Raw genomic sequence first — 25116 nt, forward strand, 5'->3', positions numbered from 1 at the left:
TACAGCCTCTGCCTCCTGGGTTCAAGTGATTCTCCTGTCTCAGCCTCCCGAGTATCTGGGACTACAGGCACATGCCACCACGCCCGGCTAATTTTTTTTTTTTTTTTTTAGTAGAGACAGGGTTTTACCATGTTAACCAGGATGGTCTTGATCTCCTGACCTCATGATCTGCCCACCTCGGCCTCCCAAAGTGCTGGGATTACAGGCGTGAGCCACCACGCCCAGCCAAAAAATCTGATTTTTAAAAAATCTATTCACTTGGAACAAATATTTTTTCATATAAGATCCTTTGAGCCCTTTTCAAGTAGTATTCAGTATTTTTCAGAAACCAAATATGATTGTTATCAGTGCATACTTCAGATATTTAACTTAGTATTTAGTATTTGGTTTATTATATTCTATTTACTTTTCTGTGAAACTTCAGATGCCTCCTCTGTGATGTTATAATATTAGATGTAAGTTATTAAGCTGGAATAGCCGAAGACAACTCTGCATTCGTCAGTCTGACAAGCCTATCTTTTACCTCCCACAGTTTTTTTCACAATCTCCTGAAAAACGCCTTATGCTATTCTATGCTTTCTACAAAGTGGTAGATACCTGGATAGAGAGTCGTCTCAATTGCAATGTTGGGTTTGATATATGACATCTTTTTAGCTATGACTATACTCTGTGCATTAAAGTCTTTAATGCAGTCCATTACAATTCACCAGCATTTGTTAGCTTCCAAGCCAATTTGAAGACATGAAAATATTAAGCTTATTTACATTTATACTAATATACTCAATGTCCTCATAAAGAATAGATTTGCTTTTTTAAGCCTGGATGTCTTGTAAATAAATTAAATCAAAAGATAGTTTCATTCTATTGTTTGACAATAGTCTAAAGGAACTCTCCCTCAGGAAGAATTCCTTCTTTAAGCAATTGTTTGGAGATGGGAGAGGTGAGGATCATTCAGCAAAATTTGTCATCACCTTGCTGTGCACCTCTAATCCATTTCTAACACCATGCTTTACTGTTAATAGAAATAGAAATATATAAGGCAATAAGAAATATATAAAGAAGACTCCCAAAACTTCACCCTAGTTTTATGGTAGCTTTATTAAGGAAAATTTCTCGGTTCACATCAATATTTTGAATTGTCTTTTTGTGTTTCACTGAGGTTTTGCATCCTGCAGCAATATTTTTTAACAAGATTTAGATAAGTAAATGGTATGTCATTCTTTTGCCAAGTGTGTGATGTAGGCAGTTGTAAGGGAAGATGGGAAATGACAACAAGCACAATGTCTAGACTATGTGCAAGTTCTCAGTTTTAGAAAAGAGTTCATGTGTAGGTTATGATTATGGAAATTGATTCCCTATGTTAGAAGGAAATAAAGAGAACCCAAGAGTGATCTAAAATGAAGCAAATTTATAGTTTACCTGGCAAGAGAGAGCCACAACATTAAGATGTGAGTTACTCTCCAAGCAAACTTTGACAAGGCTAAATAAAGGACAAAGAGGCACAGGTGTATCAAAAAGACAAGATTCCAAGTTCTGGTTTCTGATTGATTCAAGGTGGATTACAAATTGCTCCTTGCTATTGGTCACCTTCACCTTTTGTGTGACTAGTGCTGGGAAAACCAATTTCAAACTGGCCCAGGATGGGTTGCATGAAATTTCAGCAGGGCTGCTAGTTTACCTGATGAACTGATATGCATATACTCAAAGCTTTGCAGTTTTTTCCTTGATCGCTTTAAAAAAAAACAAAAAAACATCATGACTTGGATACAGGTTAGCAAGTCTTTAAGTATCCCAGATTGAATAGTGCTTATCTAGTGGATGTATCAAAAGAGGAACAGAAACAGAATGCTATGTATGGTAGGGATCATACCCAATTATCTGAACCAAAAAGTATCCATAGAGGAGGTAGAATTTAAGTCAGGCAGAGGTTATCCTTGGTATTGATGTCTCTTCATTAAGCAGATGCAGCTTTAAGTAAACCATAATTTTGTTTCTGAGTCAGAAGAAAACTATTGTTTATAAAGATCTAAACTATACAAATGTTTTAGAAATGTATTTTTATAGAATGAATAGATATTTGCTGCATAGACTCAATAGTTTGAAGTGTAGAAGGGTCTCAGAGACCATGTGGACAAGGATGAACTCCACGGGGCTCATTGTAGAATGGACCTGTACAACTTCCAGGCAAAGATTGAAGTGGAGGGGATCAGTAGAGCCTAAGCTCCAAGGATTCCTACCTCAGCCAGGGACATGGATGTTAGACTGCTCAATATTGTCTCATAGGTCACTGAAGCTTGTTTGTTTTTTTCCTGTGTGGTTCAGTTTGGATAATTTCTACTGATAAACCTTCATGTTTACTGACCATTTCTTCTGCAATGCCCTATATCCTATCTGGGGATTCTGTGGATTTTTTCACTTCAGATATTGTACTTTTCATTTATAGAATTTCTATTTAGTTTTTTAAATATAATTCTCATTTTCTCTGCTGATACATCTTAACTCTTACATTATGTCCATTTTCTACCTTGGATTTTTGAAAATATTTATAATAGCTGTCCTTGTCTGTTAATTCCACCATCTTTGTCATTTTGGGACCTTTTTCTTTCTCTTTTTTTTTTTTTTTTTTTTTTGAGACGGAGTCTCACTTTGTCACCCAAGCTGGAGTGCAGTGGCAAGATCTTGGCTCACTGCAACCTCTGCCTCCCCGGTTCAAGTGATTCTCCTGCCTCAGCCTCCCAAGTAGCTGGGATTACAGGCGCCCGCCACCACACCCAGCTAATTTTTTTATTTTTAGTAGAGACGGGGTTTCAGCATGTTGGCCAGGCTGGTCTCAAACTCCTGACCTCATGACCCACCCACCTCGGCCTCCCAAAGTGCTGGGATTACAGGCATAAGCCACCACGCCCAGCCCATTCTGGGGCCTTTTTCTGTTGAATACTTTTCCTCTAGATTATGGTTCACATTTTCCTACTTTTTTACTTCTGGTAATTATTACTTGTGTTCTGGACATTGTAGAGGACGTTTTATAGGGAGTCTAGATTGTGTTGTTTTCCATGAAAAGATGATGGGTTTTGTTCTGGCAGGCAGTTAAATTATTGGTGAATCAACTTGATCCTATAGGTTTGGTTTTATGCTTTGTTAAAGCAGGGCTATTTCAGTTTGGTTCTTAGTCTCTGGCATGAAAATAGCAATACTGTGTTTTTGCCATACATCTTGTGTGCTTTAGTCTCTAATAATAAGTTTTCGGCTTTTTTGTTTTCTATTTAGGAACTGACTTCTGAAACTGTTTCCACGAAGAAGACCATATTCATGCAGGAGGACACAAACCCCCTTGAGAAGGAGGCCTTGAAGCAGGAATTCCTGCCAGGTACTTCCAGTCTGATTCCAGGAATGCCTCAACAGGTTCCTCCTTCAGAGTCTGCTGGCCAGATTGACCAGAACTTCAAAATGCCACAAGAAATAAATTACAAGGAGGCTTTTCAGCATGAAGTTGCTCATGAAATGCCTCCTGGCTCCAAATCTCCTTTTTAGGTTACAGAAGGTAGATGCTTCTGATTTACTTCTCTCAAAGCTAGAAGCCAAGAAAATGGCCAGCTAGAACCAAGATTTAAGGGGCTGTAAAAGGCAAGTTCAGGGACTCTCCAGCCTACTCCTTTTCTGAAAAACCCTTAATCATGTGAACATTTGAACTAGTTATAGGATAAAATAAACTCAGAATAAGGATTTAAAATAAGTAACCAAGTGGCTGTGACTTTTTCCTCTTGTTTTATCAACGTTTTGGAGACTACACAATGAAAACACATCTGTTGGGGTGATCAGACCCAACACCCGGCCATGGGGGCTACAAAGTCCAGCCGAGTCAAAGGAAAGAGAAAAGACAAGTCAAGAGAGAAAGTGGGACCAGGGGGCCAATGCTAGTATGGAGGCTGTGAAGTCCCCAAGCTCTGGAAGCCCACACTATTTGTTGGTGATCAAACAAAGAAACAGGTGATGAGGATGTGGGAGTTGAAAGAAAGTGGTGTATCAAGCGAATGAACTACAGCTGTGAGGGTTTAGCATTTTCTTTGAAACATATGGCTACTTGAGATAATGGGAGTGCTAGAAGCAAGGAGCCAGCAAGTCTGGACACATTACAAAGGCCACAAGGGGTTTTATCCTGGACCCCGGACATGTTCCAAGCCCTGCCTCAACTTTTCTCCCAACACTAAGCTTTCCTCCCAACACACATCCATCTCGTGTGTTCATGTCTTAACTTTTGCTTCACTTCACAGTCAGGCCTCTCCGAGTATTTTTTACACATATCCTGGAGTCTACCTATGTCACTGATAGCAGATATTTTTCTTCAACATATATTATCAATGTTTTAATACTTTTCTTCAATTTTAGTAACTGGTAAAATACATGTAAGATGTACCATCTTAACCATTTTTAAGTGTACAGATCAGTTGTATTAAGTAGATTCATATTCTTGTGCAACCATCATCACCATCCGGCTGCAAAACTCTTTCATCTTGCAAAACTGAAACTCTACACCCATTAAAAAATAACTCGCCATTTCTCTCTCTCCCCAGCCCCTGGCAACCACCATTCTTTCTGTCTCTGTGATTTAGATTACTCTGTAAGTATGTTGTATAAATAGACTCATACAATGTTTGTCTTTTTTGTGACTGGCTTATTTCATTTAGCATAATGTCCTCCAGGTTCATTCATGTTGTAGCATGTATCAGAATTTCCTTCCTTTTTAAGGTGGAATAATATTCTGTTGTATGTTTATACCACGTTTTGCATATCCATTTATTTCATTGTCCATCAATGGGCATTCATCCATCAATGGATACGTTCACATTATAGCGACTGTGAATAATGCTGCTGTGAACATGACTCTACAAATATCTCTTCAAGATCCTGCTTTCAGGTCTTTTGAGTATATGCCCAGAAGTAGAATTGCTGGATCATATGGTAATTCTGTTTTTAATTTTTTGGGAAGCCGCCATTCTTTTTCCAGCAGCTGTACCATTTTACATTCCCACCAACAGTGCACAGGGTTCCAATTTCTCCACATCCTCACCAACACTTGTTATTTTGTTGTCATTGTTGTTGTTGTTGTTTTGATAGTAACCATCCTAATGGATGTGAGGTGGTATCTCATTGTAGTTTTGATTTGCATTTCCCTTATAATGAGTGATGTTAAGTCTGTACTTATTGGCCATTTGTATATCTTTTTTGGAAAAATGTCTATTCAAGTCCTTTGCCCATTTTTTAATTGCATTTTTTTTTTTTTGCTGTTGAGTTTTAGTTCTACATATATTCTAGATGTTAATCCCTTATCAAATATATGATTTGCAAATATTTTCTCCCATGCTGTGAACAAATGAAATGTTGCCTTTTCACTGTGTTGATAATGATGACAGGTATTTTGAAACAGCTTAAATGGCAGTAAACCTTAAAGGTTTGAAAAAAATGTTTTTAATTACATTCTATCTACATTCATTCAAATATCATCTATATACTAAGGACTTTAGATTTATATCTTTAATCAAAATTCCCTGAACTTGACTGCTTGACATCTCTACTTGGATGACCAATGGACACCTCAAACTTAACTCGTCTCAGTGGACTTTCCCTGATAGTTTCTCTGAAGCAGTTTCTCTCCATAATTCCACTTGCTCAGGCCAAAACTCTTGGAGTCACCTTTGACTGCACTTTTTTTTTGTCACCCTACATCTGGTTTGTTGGCTTTCCATCTAAATAAAGTCAGAATTCAACAACTTGAATGCCGAAACCACACTCATCTTTCTCTAGGTGATCGCAGTAGCCTGTTAACTAGACCCATCCTTGACCTGCTGTAGTCTGTCCTCAATACTAGTTACAGAACACACATAGCAGTAGTCAATTTTCTAAAATAATAGAAATATTAATACTAAATACTATTTATAACGTATTAGTATAAGCTATGAAAAGTTCCTGGGGGAATAAACACCAGACTGTTAATAGTGTTGTCTCCAACAAAAGTAACTATCAACAGAGTAAACGGACAACCTAAAGAATGGGAGAAAATTTTTGCAAACTATGCGTCTGACAAAGGTCTAATTTCCAGTATCTATAAGGAACTTAAACAAATTTACAAGAAAAACTCAACCCCATTAAAAAGTGGACAAAGGACGTTAACAGACACTTCTCAAAAGAAGACATACATGCAGCCAACAATCATATGAAAAAAGCTTGTCACTGACCATTAGAGAAATGCAAATATAAACCACAGTGAGATACAATCTCACACTAGTCAAAATGGCTATTATTAAAAAGTCAAAAAATAACAGATGCTGGTGAGGTTATGGAGAAAAAGGAACATTTATACACTGTTGACGGGAGTTTAAATTAGTTCGACCATTGTGGAAGACAGTATGGCAATTCCTCAGAGACCTAAAGACAGAAATATTAAACTATTCGACCCAGCAATCCCATTACTGGGTATATATCAAAAGGAATATAAATTTTTCTACCATAAAGACACATGCACGCATATGTTCAATGCTGCACTATTCACAATAGCAAGGTCATGGAATCAACCTAAATACCCATCAATGATAGACTGGATAAAGAAAATGTGATACATATACACCATGGAATACTATGCAGCCATAAAAAAAAATGAGATCATGTCCTTTACAGGGACGTGGATGGAACTGCGGGCCATTATCCTTAGCAGACTAACGCAGGAACAGAAAACCAAATAGCACATGTTGTCACTTATAAGTGAGAGCTAAATGATGAGAACACATGGACACATAGTGGGGAACAACACACACGGGGGCCTTTTGGAGAGTGAAGGGTGGGAGGAGGGAGAGGATCAGGAAAAATAATTAATGGATAATAGGCTTAATACATGAGTGATGAAATAATCTATATGGTAAATCCCATGACACATGTTTACCTATGTAACAAACCTGCACATCCTGCACATGTACCCCTGAGCTTAAAAGTTAAAAAAAAAAATAGTGATGTCTCAGTAGCAGGAATTATGGGAGACAATGACTTTCAGTTATAAATTTTTCTGATAATTCAATCTTTCCAATGAGTATGAATTACTTCTGTAAGAAAAAAGGAAGACATACCTTCAGTAAAGACTGGATTTTAGAATGTTTCCACTTAGAGACATCAAAAGGTTGAGTCTTGTGGCTGCCTCAGTGTCTTTCAACTAAAGGCCAGAGGCCAAGTATTTATATTCCTTAGTTTCTTAGTTAGTACCTCCTTCAGTTCTTTTTTTTGAGATGGAGTCTCGCTCTGTCACCCAGGCTGGAGTGCTGTGGCACAATCTCGGCTCACTGCAACCTTTACCTCCTGGGTTCAAGTGATTCTCCTGTCTCGGCCTTCTGAGTAGCTGGGATTACAGGTGTACACCACCATGCCCGGCTAATTTTTGTATTTTTAGTAGAGACAGGGCTTCATCATATTGGCCAGGCTGGTCTTGAACTCCTGACCTCAGATAATCCGCCTGCCTCAGCCTCCCAAAGTGCTGAGATTACAGGCATGAGCCACTGCGCCCGGCCCTTCTTTTAGTTCTATTGGACATATGCTATCATTTTTGTTAGCAACCATTTTTTAAGCATTTGTGTGTCCTGAGAAGGACAGCTGCATAATTTGTAGGGCCCAATGCAGTATGGAAATACAGAACCTATAAAGAATTTCAAGATGGTAACAACAGAGCTCTACTGAGGGATAGTGTTCCCAGGGGACTGAAAATTGCAAAGAAAAATGGCCCAGTTCCCCTATCCCCTCAGGGAAATGCTTAGAGGTCACTGGCAATGCCTGGGTTGCCCCTTTCTGAAGGACACATTCTTTCTAAAGGGAGATGAGTGCCTTCACTCAGGGTATAGCCTTTCTCCCCTCTCTTGGTAAGATGCCATTATGAGTCTCAGCTCTGGCCAAGCTTACCCTGCTCTCCCAGGTAAACTGAAGAGACACTGTCTTATTTTCCTCACTTCCTAATTCCTGTGGTTGGCAACTCTCTTCACCAATCCTGTCTACCTTTCAGGGCAGCTGTGATGGGCAGGAGAAGTAAGACCCAATGCTGAGCATGTGGGAGATGCTCAATGGCCACACACGAGCCCTGTGCAGGGACAGATGATGACCTAAAAGAAGGCAGGTGACACACCACAGAGAACGTCTCAGAGGGGGAGGAGGGCATGTGCAGAGGCACAGAGGCAGGAGCAAGTCCCACTGCAGGGTAAGCAGGATGTGTGTGAAGAAACTGCCCTGGAGGCGCTGCGTGCAGCAGGAGGGCTGGATCTGAGAGGTGCTAGAGACACAGAATCCACAGTGAGGGGAGGGAGAAGTCTAGAATGGCTCCCAGCTTTCACTTGTTTAGGGGCAAATTGAAGAACCAAGTAAATTTAGCCCCCAAATTACCGCTGCTTTTGAAGTGAGTTTAACATCGAGGCCATTCTCAAAGAGCTAGGGTCTTGGTTGGAATGCATCTTCCCCCAAAGGGCACATGTTCATCAGATGTTCCACACTTTTCTAAAGGGATTATGAAAATTCTCCTTCTTACCACACAAGTTGATTCCTCTACAAATGCTTTAGAAAAGAGACAGACATTAGCCGGGCGTGGTGGCTCATCCCTGTAATCCCAGCACTTTGGGAGGCCAAGGTGGGCGGATCACCTAAGGTCAAGAGTTCAAGACCAGCCTGGCCAACATGGTAAAACCCTGTCTCTACCAAAAATACAAAAATTAGCTGGGTGTGATGGCGCGCACCTGTTGTCCCAGCTACTCAGGAGGCTGAGGCAGAAGAATTGCTTGAACCCGGGAGGCGGAGGTTGCAGTGGGCTGAGATCAGCCACTGCATTCCAGATGGGGCAACAGAGTGAGACTGTCTCAAAAAAAAAAAAAAAAAGAAAAGAAAAGAAAAAGAGAAAAAAGAAAGAAATACATTATTAAAAAGGATTATTTTAAGCCAGGAGGTGGCTCACGCCCGTAATCCCAACACTTCAAGAGGCCAAGGCGAGAGCATCACTTGAGGCCAGGAGTTCAAGACCAGCCTTGGCAACATAGCGAAACTGTCTCTACAAAAAATTTAAAAATTAGCTGGGCATGGTGACATGCACCTGTGGTCCCAGCTACTTAGGAGGCTGAAGTGGGATGATGGCCTGAGCCCAGGAGGTAGAGGCTGCAGTGAGCCATGACTGCACCACTGCTCCACTCTGGGCAACAGAGGAAGACCCTGTCTCTCAACAGAAAAAAAGAAAAAGTTTATGTTAGTTTTCAATAAAGGTAACTGACATATTTGGCTGTTTAACGTGTACCAAGCACTGTGCTAAGTGCTTAATTGCATTATCTCATTTCATTCTCACAGTACCCCATGAGTTGGACACTTTCATAATCCCCATGTTATGGATGAGAAAACACTTAAGGTTCAGAGAAATTAATGGCTGGGCCAAGGGCAGACACCAGGAGGTGGCACTGACGTCTGCCTGTTACGGGCCCACACGCTTGGCTGCTGGGCTGTCCTAATTAATACAATCTAACAAAGAAAGTCTTTTTTCCCTGTTCAGGGACGTTTTGCTGCAAGTTGATTACAGTCTTTTTCTTGCCTCTTAGATGATATGAAATATTCACAGAGCTTTCAAATAACCATTGTTATACAGAAGCATTTAAGCTTACTCATGCATATTTTATTTGTCTCGATTACCAGCCAGAATTAACAATTCTCTAAGCATTTACGGCCCCAAACAAGATATTTCAAAAATTCGTATTAGATACTTTAGACACACTGTTATAACAATACAAGTGATAAAATTTATAAAGTTCTTCCCAGTGACAGAATATATCTCCCAGTAAAAACGTCCTTTTGACCAATTAGTACTGAGTGATATCATTCTTATATTTTTGTGCAGATTACAAATCTGTTTTCAAATGATGGAATAATATCCTATGGGAAAAATAAATACCCCTTTCTACCTTTAGTAAAGGAATTAAAAAGAACAACTTTAGGGGAACAAATACAAAAGCTATGATATTACAAACATATTTTCAGAATATAAGAGAGAATGAAATAGCTTAAATCAACTAAAAATGTGTCTATAAGAAGATGTTTGTCAGCAAAGAAAAACTGATGATGAATTTTCCTGGAAGGATTAAAATTTGTGATTTGTATGAAGACAGCTGTGTGCTCAGCTGACAGTTTTTCAAGGGTGGCTTACTGCTGAGGCATACTGCATGTCACATTGGCAAAGGGAAGGCTCTTTGGGTCTTTCTGCTTTCATGTTTGAGTTCCGTTTGTCAAGAAGAAACTAACTCAATGTCTTTCAACAAAAGGCAAGTCCAAAGGTCACAGAGGGAAGAGAGTTCCAGTAAGGTTTCCAGAAAGCAGAACTTTGGGAGCCGTGGTCAGAAGTTGGGCTGGCACTGCATAGATTTCTTGGGTCTGCTGTCCTCTAGACTCATGGTAAAAAGATACTGATTCCAAAGTATCATTAGAAAGGAAAAAATTTCTCAGTTACCACTGTCAAAAAAGAATCTCCAGGAATAAAATGACAGGATGCAGAGGTAGCATTGTCTAAAAAAGGCTCACTTGTAGATAAGTTTATCCAAAGTGAAATGAAACAATCAAAAATATCAGCAGAAATATAGTTCACAGGCAAGGGTTGTTGAGGCAAAAAAAAAAAAAAAAAAAAAAAATTGTTCCACAAGAGGCACCAGAAAAGAAAGAGTTCACCTATAATGCCAGGAAGGGATAAATTGATGAGGAGTCATTGCCACCAGTGATGCAACCCATGGTTATTATCAGCCAGACTGCAATCAACAACAACAAGTCACCATTAGGGACATATTCCAAGGCCTCAATGGGCCAGGATGAAACACTTTCAGATCATATGTTTGAAGAAACTAACTACATGGATGCAACTAGCTGAAGAGAAACTTTGCAAAAGTTATCTCCAGGAGACATAAATTCCATGGGTGAGCCTGGCCAAGATAAAAACCTTATAATGAGTGCTATCTTAGTCCAATCAGAGCACTATAACAGAATACCTTAGACTGGGTAATCTTTAAACAGAAATTTATGTCTCACAGTTCTGGAGACTGAGAGGTCTAAGATCAAGGTGATAGCAGATTCAGTTTCTGATGAGGGCCTTCCTCACAGATGGTGCCTTCAGTGTGTTCTCACATGGTGAAAGGGGCAAACAGGCTCCCTCAAACCTCTTTAATAGGGGCACTAATCCCATTCATGAGGGCAGAGGCCTCCTAACCTAATCCCCTCCCAAAGGCCCCACCTCTTAATACTATTGCGTTGGGGATTTAGTTTCAACATATGAATTTTTAGGGGACCATAGCAATGGCCAATAGAAATTAAGTTCTTTGGCCAGTCATGGTGGCTTACACCTGTAATCCAGCACTTTGGGAGGCTGAGGCAGGTGGATCACTTGAGGTCAAGAGACCAGCCTGGCCAACGTGGTGAAACCCTGTCTCTACAAAAAAATGCAAAAATTAGTTGGGCGTGATAGCATGCCCCTGTAGTTCCAGCTACTTGGGAGGCTGAGGCAGAGAATGGCTTGAACCTGTGAGGTGGAGGCTGCAGTGAACTGAGATTGCACCACTGCACTCCAGCCTGGGTGACAGAGCGAGACCCTGTCTCAAAAAAAAAAAAAAGAAAAAGAAAAGAAATTAAGGTTTCTTTTTGTTTGCTTCTTTTTAATTTGCCAAGTTACTTCTTACTAGAGAATAGAAATCAATTTCATAAGATATGTTAGCTAGGGAAAAATTCCTCTATGTTCCTAATTGTCACCATCAGTGCATAAAATCAGTGTTTATAAAATTCCCTCAAAAATAAATTGCTGGCTGGGCGTGGTGGCTCATGCCTATAATCCTGGCACTTTGAGAAGCCAAGGTGGGCAGATTGCCTGAGCTCAGGAGACCAGCCTGGGTAACAAGGTGAAACCCTGTCTCTACTAAAATACAAAAAATTAGCTGGGCATGCTAGCGCACACTTGTAATCCCAGCTACTCAGGAGGCTGAGGCACAAGAATCTCTTGAACCCAGGAGGCAGAGGTTGCAGTGAGCCAAGATCACACCCAACAGAGCCAGACTCTGTCTCCAAATATAAATAAAGAAATTGCTAAAGAAAGAGATTTCATGAATGAAATTGGCCACAAAATAATTATCCCAGGAGGGTCTCTCGGAAGTCTGAGATCCTTGGACAAAGATATTGAAGACAAGGCTCTTCAAAAAGAAATGCTTTTTTAAATATAGCTCATTTTTATTTTATTTTATTTTATTTATTTGTTTTGAGATGGAGTCTCGCTCTGTTGCCCAGGCTGGAATGCAGTGGCATGATCTCAGCTCACTGCAACCTCCACCTCCCGGGTTCAAGTGATTCTCCTGCCTCAGCCTCCTGAGTAGCTTGGACTACAGGCATCCGCCACCATGCCCAGCTATTTTTTTTTGTATTTTTAGTAGAGACAGGGTTTCACCATGTTAGTCAGTCTGGTCTCGAACTCCTGACCTCAAATGATCTGCCCACCTAGGCCTCTTAAAGTGCTGGGATTATAGGCGTGAGCCCCCATGCCAGGCCTTAAAGCTCATTTTTGAAAAGATGATTGGGCGGCCAGGCGCAGTGGCTCACACCTGTAATCCCAGTACTTTGGGAGGCCAAGGCAGGCGGATCATGAGGTCAGGAGATCGAGACCATCCTGGTTAACACGTGAAACCCTGTCTCTACTAAAAATACAAAAAAATTAGCCGGGTGTGGTGGCGGGCGCCTGTAGTCCCAGCTACTCGGGAGGCTGAGGCAGGAGAATGACGTGAACCCAGGAGGCGGAGCTTGCAGTGAGCCGAGATTGCGCCACTGCACTCCAGCCTGGGCGACAGAGTGAGACTGTCTAAAAAAAAAAAATTTCCCTAGGTGACATCAATGCATTTTCTATCAATAGGCAAATGTGACTGGGACCCAATTTCCCAAGCAGCCCTTTCAGGGGGTTACTGTGAAGAATGGAGGGGTTGAACAAAACATGGTTCTCTACAAGGCTCTTCAGGAGCATTTGAGTCAAATTCACAGAGAAATCCAGAGAGAAAATTCGCAAAAACTCTGGTCTGGAAGAGATATGTCCAGTACCACATTTAGAACGTAATTACTGAGAAAATGGCCTTAGAAAGAGAAATTTCCACCAAATGGATTGGCCAGAGCAGATGTTTATACAGAAAAATAATACCCATAGATCAAGATGTTCAGAATGAAACCTCAAATGAAGCGAATTCTGAAGGATGTTGACTCAATGAGAAATGATAAAACTAAGCAAATCTTGAAATCAGGAGGAATTAAACCAATGTATAAGGGCAAGCCCCAGGGCGCAGTTTCTTAGGATTACTCTTCGGGAGTAGCCAAGCCTACCAGAGTGATTCCATAGGAAAATATTCTGAAGAACATGTCTTCAGTCATGTTGTATCCATTGCCAGATCCCTTCAAAACAAAATGTCAAAAGAATCCTCATCGCCACGAGTAAAGCTCCTAAATAAAGAACAAAATTCCCAGCATATGTCACCAAAAATAATAGTATGTATATCTAGTCAAATAATGCCATCTGGAGATTAAAAGTTTCAAGTATAAGATTCATCAGGATAAAAATCTTCCAAGCAATTATTTAGGAGAGGAATAAGTAATGAATACTTTGAGCCAGGGCAATTTTCCCCAGCAAATGCTGTCAGAAAATCTATGGAGAGGATGCAACTCAGTGAAGTTCCCTGGCAGACGCTATCCAAAGGAAGAAAATCTTTAGAGAAAGACAGCCAAGACAAAATGTCTTTGGAATCAGGAGCAGTTTGGAGCAAGGCTGAGTGGACACTGAGTTCATAAAGCCATATGCCTGCAGCCCATGAGGAAGAAATGTGCTGTGTTTTCTCTCTGGCAGAAATGACCTCTCTGGAGTTGAAGCCAGTGAGTGAACAGGTACCACGGAGAAGGAATAAAATTATCTAGCCACACTTCACAAGTTTCATCACAAGAGACAAGTTCCCTAGAGGCTCTTAGTAAAAATTGAGTTGCTCTGCCTGGAATTAAACCAAATTCCTTCCTGAAAGTGGTTATTCTATATTTAACTATAATTTTTCCACTATAGGGAAGTGATATTCTTAATTTTTTTAGAGACAGGCTGGAGTGCAGTAGGTGATCGAGGCTTACTGCCGCCTCAACCTCCTCGGCTCAAGTGATCTTCCCACCTCAGATCCTCCAAGTAGCTGAGGACTGCAGGTGCACACCACCACATCCAACTAATAATATTCTTTAGACATGAAGAATGATGGCAAAACTATCTAAGGAGCTACTTTTCAACATATTGTCATTCAAAACTATAACAAAGTATCAGGTCTAAATATGCATCAAACTTTAGAAACTCCAGACAAAAAAGCAGTTGGCAACAAAGCTATCTAAAGAATAAATGAGAGGGTATAGCCCCTTCGCTCAATGAAGAATGGAGACAAAACAAGAATAAAAAACTGATGGACCAGGTGCAGTGGCTCACGCCTGTAATCCCAGCACTTTGGGAGGCTGAGGCGGGAGTTTGAAATCAGCCTGGCCAACATGGTGAAGCCCTGTCTCTACAAAAAATCCAAAAATTAACTGGGCATGGTGGCGCACGCCTGTAGTCCCAGCTACTCAGGAGGCTGAAGCAGGAGAGTTGCTTGAATCCCGGAGGTGGGGGTTGCAGTGAGCCAAGATCATGCCACTGCACTGCAGCCTAGGCAACAGAGCGAGACTCTGTCTCAAAAAAAATAAAAAGTAAAAAATCGAAACTTTTATTAGACTCAGCATCTACATGACTAGAAAGCAAGCTTCTCTTTTTAAAGGTATCTTTTCCTCCTGCCTAAATAGTATCCTTTAAGTACCTAAGGGAGAAGGAAAACATTGACATACCAGGAGGTTGCTGGGACCAACCTCGACCATCCGCCCTCACCGCTAGGGAGCAGTATCAGAGAGATGAGGGACAGATATGCAGGGGAGGAGCTCCAAGTTCGGTGAACTTTACTAAGCCCTGCCTGCTGACATTGCCTCTAAGGGTTTCCTTTTATATTACTGGCAGAATGAACTTCAGAATCTTGTGGTTTTCTACCCCAGCTTCCAATCTGCTTAGCATCTGACCTTTTCTTAAAACAAAGATCTAAACATTTCCTAAAACAACCTCCCAGAACAAAAGCAAGAACGCACAAACATGGACTGACAATTTTGAGGGCTGATTACAAAAAGAGTGCTTTGATTTGGTACAGTCATACCTCGGAGATACTGCAAGTTCACTGCAATGAAGCAAATAAGGCAATAAAGCCAGTCACGCACAGTTTTTGGTTTCCCAGTGCATGTAAAAATTATGTTTATGCTATATTGTAGTCTATTAAGCGTGCAATAGCATTATGTCTTCAAAAAAATATGCATATGTAATTTTAAAATACTTTTTTTGCTAAAAAATGCTAACAATCATGTGAATCTTCTCCGAATTGTAAATCTTTTTGCTGGTGGTGGGTCTTGCCTTAACATTGATGGTTGCTGACTGATCAGGGTGGTAGTTGCTGAAGGCTGGGGTGGCTATGGCAATTTCTTAAGAGAACAGTGAAGTTTGCCACATTTCATCCACAGTAGAACTTCTTTCAAAATTGGAGTCAATCCTTTCGAACACTGCCACTGCTTTATCAACTAAGTTTGTGGAATAGTGAAAATCTTTGTTGTCATTTCAACAGTGATCACAATGTTCATGAATCATAAATGTTCTGGATGGCATGTAGAATGGCGAAAACTTTCCAGAGGTTTTTAATTTACTTTGCTTGGATCTATAAGAGGAATCACTATCCATGGAAGCTATAGCCTTACAAAATGTATTTCTTAAATAATAAGACTTGAAAGTCAAAATTACTCCTTGATCCATGGGCTACAGAATGGATGTTGTGTTAGCAGGCGTAGAAACAACATTTACCTCCTTATACATTTTCACCAGCGCTCTCAGGTGATGAGAGGCATTGTCAGTGAGCAGTAATATTTTGAAATAAATCTTTTTGGCTGGGTACAGTGGCTCACACCTGTAATACCAGCACTTTGAGAGACTGAAGTGGGTGGATCACCTGAGGTCAGGAGTTCGAGACCAGCCTGACCAGGAGTTCGAGACCATGGTGAAACCCTGTCTCTAGTAAAAATACAAAAATATTAGCTGGGCATGGTGGCACATGCCTATAATCCCAGCTACTCAGGAGACTGAGTAAGGAGAATCATTTGAACCCGGGAGGCGGAGGTTGTAGTGAGCCAGGATGGTGCCATTGCACTCCAGCCTGGGCAACAAGAGTGAAACTCAGTCTCAAAAAAAGAAAAAAAAGAAAGAAATCTTTTCATCTGAGCGGTATGTCTCAAAAGTGGGCTTAAAACATTCAGCAAACCATGCTATAAACAGATGTGCTATCCAGGCTTTGTTGTTCCACTGATAAACACAGGCAGAGTAGATCTAGCATCATTCTTAAGGCCCCTAGGATTTTCAGAATGATAAATGAGTGTTGGCTTCAACTTAACATCACCAGATGCATTAGACTCTAACAAGAGAGTCAGCCTGTCCTTTGAAGCTTTGAAGCCAGGCATTGACTTCTCCTCCGTAGCCATGAAAGTCTTGGACGGCATCTTCTTCTTATAGAAGGCTATTTCATCTACATTGAAAATCTGTTGTTTAGTGTAGCCACCATCATCAATTATCCCAGGATAATTATTTTCAATTATTTTCTGGATAGCTTGCTGCAGCTTCTATATCAGCACTTGCTGCTTCACTCTGCACTTTTATGTTATGGAGATGGCCTCTTTCCATAAACCAGCCTCTGCTAGCTTCAAACTTTTCTTCTGCAGCTTATTCATCTCTCTCAGCCTTTACAGAATTGAAGAGAGGTAGAGCCTTGCTCTGGACTAGGCTTTGGCTTAAGGGAATATTGTGGTTGGTTTGATCTTCCATCCAGACCACTAAAGCTTTCTCCATATTCGCTTTCTTATCATTTGTGTGTTTACTGGAGCAGCACTTTTACTTTCCTTCCATAAACTTTCCTTTGCATTCACAACTTGGCTGTTTGGCACAAGAGGCGTAGCTTTCGGCCTGTCTTGGCTTTCGACATGCCTTCCTCACTAAGCCTAACCATTACTACTTTTTTTTTTTTTTTTTTGAGACAGGGTCTCGCTCTGTGGCCCAGGCTAGAGTGCAGTGGGGTGATCTCAGCTCACTGCAACCTCCACCTCCCAGGTTCAAGCAAGCAATTCTTGTGCCTCAGCCTCCTGAGTAGCTGGGACTACAGGCACCACCACGTCCAGCTAATTTTTATATGTTTAGTAGCCACAGGGTTTCACCATGTTGGTCAGGCTAGTCTCGAACTCCTGGCCTCAAGTGATCTGCCTGCCTTGGCCTCCCAAAGTGCTGGGATTACAAGCGTGAGTCACCATGCCCAGCCCATAACTAGCTCTTGACTTAAAGTGAGAAACACGTGACTCTTCTTTTCACTTGAACATTTAGAGGCCATTGTACAGTTATTAATTGGCCTAATTTCAATATTGTTGTGTCTTGGGGAATAGGAAGGCATGAGGAGAGGGAGAGAGATGAAGGAATGGTGTGTTGGTGGAGCAGTCAGAACATACACAGTATTTGTTGATTGAGTTCACCGTCACACACACAGTATTTATTGGTTGAGTTCACCATCTTATATGGGTGTAATTGTAGATAATTACAAAGTAACATCAGAGATCACTGATTGTAGATTCCTATAACAGATATAATAATAATGAACGAGTCTGAAATATTGTGGGAATTATCAAAATATAACACAGAGACACAAAGTGGGCACATGCTGTTGGAAAAAAATGGCACCCATAGATTTGCACAACACAGGGTTGCCACAGACCTTAATATTTATTTATTTATTTATTTATTTATTTATTTATTTATTTATTTTATTGAGGTGGAGTCTCACTCTGTCGCCCAGGCTGGAATGCAGTGGTGCTATCTCAGCTCACTGCAACCTCTGCCTGCCAAGTTCAAGTGATTCTGTTGCCTCAGCCTCCCTAGTAGCTGGGATTACAGGCATGCGCTACCACACCCTGCTAATTTTTTTTTTTTTTTGAGACAGAGTCTTGCTGTGTTGCCCAGGCTGGAGTACAGTGGCATGATCTCGGCTCACTGCAACCTCCACCTCTGGGTTCAAGCAATTCTCGTGCCTCAGCCTCCCGAGTAGCTGGGATTACAGGCATGCACCATCACGCCTGGCTAATTTTTTGTATTTTTAGTAGAGACAAGGTTTCACCATGTTGGCCAGGCTGGTCTTGAACTCCTGAGCTCAGACAATCCGCCTGCCTCAGCCTCCCAAATTGCTAGGATTACGGGCATGAGCCACTGTGCCCGGCCAGACCTTTAATATTTAAACAAAATGCAGTATCTGCAAAACAGAGCAAAGCAAAACACAATACAATGAGGTATGTCTGCGCTTAATTTCTTACACAAATCAGATAGGTAGGTAGATAGAACAAACGACATTACTGGGATTCATCATGGAAATGTTCCACTATGGCCATTATGTATCCATTAAAAGCAATAATGTAGAAAGATACAAATTTATAATATCAGGGTGTGTGTTTGTGTGTACTGGTGTGTCTATCCACAGAGAACTATCTGGAAAGATGGTCATTTGAGGACAGGATTACTATTGAATTTGTATTTTGTCATGCTTTTCTGTATCATAAAATTTTTTATAAAGATCATGAATCCCATATAAAATAAAAATATGTTTTTTCATTTGGGAAAAATTAATTTTTTAAGCAAAACTTATCAATATGAATCTGGACAGCTCAACTTCTTCATTTTCAAAAGTAGGAAATGTATATTTGTCACTCTGGCTTTCATCGTGACTGTTAACATGGTGTGCTAGAGTCCCATCTAATAGTTTTTGTGTTTCAACAGGATTCTTCCTTGCCAGCCTCCAGGATGGAAGAGTAATGGAGGGAACTCTCTGGTTATTTTCTCTACCTGTCCTCACTCTAGGAGGAAAATTGACCTCTCTGGTTGTTGAGATTGTTAGGTGACTGCAAATCTTGGGGTTGCATTCATATGCTGGGCAGAGTAAATGTATTAAAAGTAACACTTTTGTGTTTCTTTTTTTTTTTCTCTCCTTGGTCTCTTAAACCTGCTGGTATTTGTGAGGCTCACATTTGCAGCTTCTGTATCTACAATTTGATGGGAAAGTCAGTCTCCTGGAGGGAAATGAGAGACACTACCACATTCTTCGGTTTATCTGATTATCTAACTGAATATAATTCTAAATAAACTATTACTCTACTCAAATGCAGGAAGGAGAACCTATTGAAACTGTTCTCTTGTCATAAAATTGCCCTCGGGTTCATTATTGTAATTACCATTACCATTGCTCATGGCTATATTATGATCACGAATATAACAGTCATTAGCTAAATGCTTCTGACTTTCCTTCCAGGCATAGACCTTCATCACGCATCTCAAACTCAGGAAGTCAGTCTCTGGTTCTCCCACCCATGAACATCCATCTCCAACTTCCACTACTCCCTGTGACACTTAAATGAGATAATTCACATAGAGCACATAGAATTAGCATGCCTGGACCACAGGGACTCCCGATGGCATCAGCATTGGCTGCTGCTGCTGTCATGATTGTTGTTGCTGTGCTAGACCTGTGTAATTTTAAAGTTGTAGTTGTCGCTGCTAAGGGACAATTTCCTGCCACCTCTACTGTTTTTTTCTCTGCATTAACAAAAGCCCCAGCTGGTTTTCCTCCCACAGCCATGTGGTGGCACCAGCACTTCACAAATTTTCATCTGAAATAGGTAGTTTTTTTTGTTTGTTTTTGTTTTTTTGTTTTGGGGCAGATTCTCACTCTGTTGCCCAGGCTGGAGTGCAATGGCGTGATCTCGGCTCACTGGAACCTCCACCCCCTGGATTCAAGTGATTCTCCTGCCTCAGCCTCCTGAGTAGCTGAGATTACAGGCACCCGCCACCACGCCCGGCAAATTTTTGTATTTTTAGTAGAGAAGGGGTTTCACCTTGTTAGTCAGGCTGATCTCGAACTCCTGACCTCAGGTGATCCACTCACCTCGGCCTCCCAAAGTGCTGAGATTACAGGTGTGAGCCACTACACCTGGCCTTTTGCTTGTTTTTTAAATTGACAAATAAAAACTATACGTATATGTATATATATATATATAATGTACAATATGTTTAACATGTGCATTACCTAACATACTTATCATTTTTTGTGGCATGCACACTAAAAATGTTAACCATTTTCAAGTGTACAATACATTGTTTTTAACTTTAGTCACCACGTTGTACAACAAATCTCTGAATTTATTCTCCAATCTAACTGAAATTTTATATCCATTGACCAACATCTTCCCAACCTCCACTCCCATCCCAGCCCCTGGTAACTACCATTTGAAATGGATGGTTATTAATTGCAGCAGGACTTTCAGCAGGGATCCTGAGGTCAGGTCCATGTTTCTGCTTATACAAAGAGTCAGCCTAGACAATCAGATCTTCCATAACCTGTAGAAATGTTTCCTTTTTGTGTTTCTTTTTATGGGGATTTACTTAGTACTTAATCTTGTGTAAATCACCCCTGCTTTGGCCTCCATATTTCTCAATAATTATGCTAAGATAGTCTAAGTAAACCAAGGGGCAACTTGAAAATAATAATGGTTATGTATTGAGCACTTACCAGACACAGCCATCCCTCTGGAGCTTACAGAGTAGCTGGAAAGAGAGATAATAAGCAATAGAACAAATAAATTTGAAGTACTATATGAAAATAAGTCCAGAGTGTGGTAAGTACTATGAAGAAAATAAAGGGCCACAGGGAGAAGCCACATTGTTTCACGGTTAGGTCTATATTCATTTTGAGTTAATTTTTGTGAAAGGTGCAAGGTGTGTATTTAGGTTCATTTTTTACATCTGTGCATCCAATTGTTTACCACTATTTGTTGAAAAGATCAGGCCGGGCGTGGTGGCTCACGCCTGTAATCCCAGCACTTTGGGAGGCTGAGGCGGGCGGATCAGGAGGTCAGGAGATCGAGACCATCCTGGCTAACACGGTGAAACCCCATCTCTACTAAAAATACAAAAAATTAGCCGGGCGTGGTGGCAGGCGCCTGTAGTCCCAGCTACTCAGGAGGCTGAGGCAGGAGAATGGCGTCAACCTGGGAGGCGGAGTTTGCAGTGAGCCGAGATCGTGCCACCGCACTCCAGCCTGGGTGACAGAGCAAGACTCCATCTCAAAAAAAAAAAAAAAAAGAAAGAAAGAAAAGAAAAGATCATCCTTTCTGCAGTGAATGGCCTTTGTGCATTTGTCAAGGATCAGTCGACCATATTTTTGTGACCTATATATCTATTTAACCAATACCACACTGTCTTGATTACTATAGCTTCATGTAATCCTTGAAATTGGTGGTATTATGGGAGGCTGAGGCAGGAGAATGGCGTGAACCTGGGAGGCGGAGCTTGCAGTGAGCTGAGATCACGCCACTGCACTCCAGCCTGGGCTACAGAGCAAGACTCTGCCTCAAAACAAAAAAAAAAAAAAGAAAAAAGAAAAAAAAAAGAAATTGGTGGTATTACTACTTCAACTTTTTTCTTCTTCAGTGTTGTGTTGGTTATTTGAAGTCTTTTCCTTTCATATAAACTTTAGAATCTATTTGTTGATATCTACAAAATAGCTTTCTGGGATTCTGATTGGGATTGCATTGAATCTATAGTTCAAGTTGGGAATAATTAATATTTTAATAATATTGAGTCTTTCTTTGTTCCCTTTTTTTTTTTTTTTTTGATACAAGGCCCAGGCTGGAGTGCAGTAGTACGATCATAGTTGACTGAAGCCTCAAACTCTCGGCTTCAAGTGATCCTCCCACCTCAGCCTCCTGAGTAGTTGGAACTACGACTGGCTAATTTTTCAATTTTTTAGAGATGGAGTCTCACATTGTTTCACAGCCTGGTCTCCAATTCCTGGCTTCAAGCAATCCTCCCACTTTGGCCTCCCAAAAGTTTGGGATTACAGGCATGAGCCATTGCACCAGGCCTTCTTTCTTTTTTCAGAGACAGGGTCTTGTTCTGTTGCCCTAGCTGGAGTGCAGCGGTATGATCATAGCTCACTGCAGCCTCAAACTCCTGGGCTCAACAGATTCTCCTGCCTCAGCCTCCCGAGTAGTTGGGACTCCAGGCATGAGCCACCACACCCAGCTAATTTTTCAATTTCTTAGATACGGAGTCTCACTATGTTACCCAGGCTGGTCTCGAACTCCTGGCCTCAAGTAATCCTCCCACTTCAGACTCCTGAGTAGCTGGGATTACAGCCAAAAGCCACAGTGCCTGGCTTGTTACTGTTTTAATCCATGAGACGGAAATAGGTCTCCATTTATTTAAACCATCTTTGACTTAGTTCATCAGTATTTTGTACTTTTGCACATGTAGATCCTATACATATTTTGTTAGATTTTTATACTTAAGTATTTTTGGTGCAATTATAAATGGAATTTTTTATTTCAAATTCCATTTGTACATGGCTGGTATATAAAAAAGCAATCTTTTGTATATTCACCTTGCTGTACTCACTTATTAGTTTCAAGAGTTTTTTTGTTTTTGTGTTTGGTAGATTCTTCAAGATTTTTTTCATAGACAATCATGTCATCTGCAAATAAAGACAGTTTGTCTCTCCAATTTAAATATGTATTCATTTTATTTTCTTTTTCTTTCTTATTGCAGTAGCTAGGACTTTCAGTATAATGTCGAATAGGAGTGATGAGAAGGATATCCTTGCCTTGATCCAGATACTATAGAGAAAGCATTCATTCTATTTGCTACTTTTTTGTGGAGGACTTTTGTGTCTATGTTCATAAAAGATATTGGGCTATAGTTGGCTATATTGGCTATAGTTTTCCTTTCTTGTAAAGTCTTTATTTAGTCTTTATTTAGTTTGGCTAGTAAGATAATGCTGGCATGACTTTCTCAAGTATTTCTCCATACTCCCCTGGCTGCAACACTTCTAGCTTATTTTCCTGAAGTCTTGATTCCTGTTGACTATGTTTTTCCCCCTTAAGTGAGACAGAAAGGTTAGAGGAAACTAATGTTTCTTCTAACGTTATGGAATGTTAGAATGTTCTTTTCCCAACTGAGTGGAATGAATGTTCTTTTCCCAACTGAGATCAGCCTCTGCCAGAGTCTTTTCCTCTGAAGATTAGATCTCTGTTATGTAAAATATTCTGGGCATATTTCACGGGCATTACTCTTCTTCTCCACTTCAAGAACCACTAAACCATAAGGGGAACTTCCTCAAGTCTTCACCAGCGGTACCTTGTGTGTTTCTTGAAAATAAAGTCCATGAAAGTGTGGGGGCCAGCCGGGCGCGGTGGCTCATGCCTGTAATCCCAGCACTTTGGGAGGCCGAGGCGGGGCGATCACGAGGTCAGGAGATCGAGACCATCCTGGCTAACATGGTGAAACTCCGTCTCTACTAAAAATACAAAGAATTAGCTGGGTCTGGTGGCAGGCGCCTGTAGTCCCAGCTACTCAGGAGGCTGAGGCAGGAGAATGGCGTGAACCCGGGAGGCGGAGCTTGCAGTGAGCCGAGATCGCGCCACTGCACTCCAGCCTGGGTGACAGAGCAAGACTCCGTCTCAGAGGAAAAAAAAAAAGTGTGGGGGCCACCACTAAGACTGCAGCTGTAGATGTTTGTCCTTCTCACACTAATCCACACACTACCTGCAGTAATTCATCAGAATTACTACAGATGCTTCTGGACTCATGATGCCGTTATGTCCCAATAAACCCATCATCAGTTGAAAATATCGTAAGTTGAAGATGTATTTTATACATCTAATCTACCAAACATCACAACTTAGCCTACACTACTTTAAGTATGTTCAGAACACTTACATTAGCCCAGCACTGCAAGAGAGCATTGTGCCACATATCACTGGCCCTAGAAAAGATCAAAATTCAAAGTATGGTTTCTACTGAATGTGTGTCATTTTCACACCATTATAAAATCAAAAAATTGTAAGTTGAACCATTGTAAGTTCGGACCATCCGTTCTGAGGCATCACTGAGCTGGCTTCTGCTCCAGGTAAGGAGATCTCAGCTGGACTTCTTGGAAGAGCCTTTCTCTCCAGAACCCAGATGGAGATTTGGCCTCCAAACCCAGTTTTCTGATAGATCCAGAGAAAGTCATTGATTTTCCAGTTTCCCGTATTTTTCTTGTAAGGATGAGAGCGCTTCTAACCTTTTCATATATCAGAATTGAAATCAGAAGTCCTCTAGAGAGACCACTTTAGATAGAAGGTCAGGGAACACTGAAAGTGACATTAGAATTGAGCTCCAAAAATAAGCAGGAACACAACAGCCCTGCCAGGCAGGTAATGGTACCATTTTACAGACAACAGTCCTAGGGCTAGAGAGAGAAAGTGATTTTGCCAAGAGTCAAAGCCCAAGGCTTTGAAAGGGCCCAGCCGGCTTCAAAGTCAATCCTTTCTTCATTCCACCAAGCAGCCTCAAACTCGTAATGCAAAGGGAGAGGCTGGAGGAGCCATCTGTCTATGGAAATGCTCAAATATATTCAGAGACTTTGAAATTGTGCCTTCTGGCTGGGCACGGTGGCTCATGCCTGTAATCCCAGCACTTTGGAAGGCCAAGGTGGGCAGATCACCTGAGGTCAGGAGCTCAAGACCAGTCTGACCAACATGGCGAAACCTCATCTCTACTAAAAAAAAAAATACAAAAATTAGCTGGGTGTGGTGGCGCATGCCTGTAACTCCAGCTACTCGAGGGGCTGAGACAGGAGAATTGCTTGAACCCAGGAGAGAGAGGTTGCAGGGAGCCAAGATCGTGCCACTGCACTCCAGCCTGGGCAACAGAGCAAGACTGTGTCTCAAAAACAATAACAACAAAAAGAAATTGTGTCTTCTTTTAGTTTTGCCTCAAATAAGCAAATTGAGTTTAAAGCTAAGCAAGTGTGTTATGGTGACTAGAGCTCTGGGCAGGGAGCCAGGAGACCTCAGCAGTAGCCTGGCTCTAGCAGGAGATTGCTGGTGACTTTGGGGAAGTGCTTACTC

General features: G+C 41.0%; 1 protein-coding gene across 8 annotated transcripts in view, besides 1 other annotated feature; it reads left to right on the plus strand.

Annotated features, from left to right (window-relative positions):
• Window positions 1-40: part of a silencer, noted in NCBI's record as "fragment chr10:82123032-82123216 (GRCh37/hg19 assembly coordinates)", that runs on past the window's edge. NCBI's record gives its function as "represses an EF-1alpha promoter that drives an FKBP-Casp9 reporter gene in an ReSE screen in K562 erythroleukemia cells {active_cell/tissue: K562}" and the evidence as "EXISTENCE:reporter gene assay evidence [ECO:0000049][PMID:32094911]".
• The window catches only part of DYDC2 (DPY30 domain containing 2), a 23329-nt gene extending 18676 nt beyond the window's left edge, over window positions 1-4653 (plus strand). For 7 of the 8 annotated variants that reach the window (NR_070308.2, NR_070309.2, NM_001270042.2 and 4 more), the window contains one exon: window positions 3268-4653. Coding sequence is in view for 6 of the 8 variants with exons in the window: in NM_001270042.2 (NP_001256971.1) it covers window positions 3268-3531 (264 nt within the window). In the remaining 2 variants the exon portion in view is untranslated. The remainder of the gene's footprint in view (window positions 1-3267) is intronic. The other variant, XM_011540270.3, reaches the window with a different exon arrangement.
• Window positions 4654-25116: the final 20463 nt, after the last annotated feature.

Source organism: Homo sapiens, chromosome 10 (genome assembly GCF_000001405.40).
Source record: "Homo sapiens chromosome 10, GRCh38.p14 Primary Assembly".
NCBI lineage: Eukaryota > Metazoa > Chordata > Mammalia > Primates > Hominidae > Homo > Homo sapiens.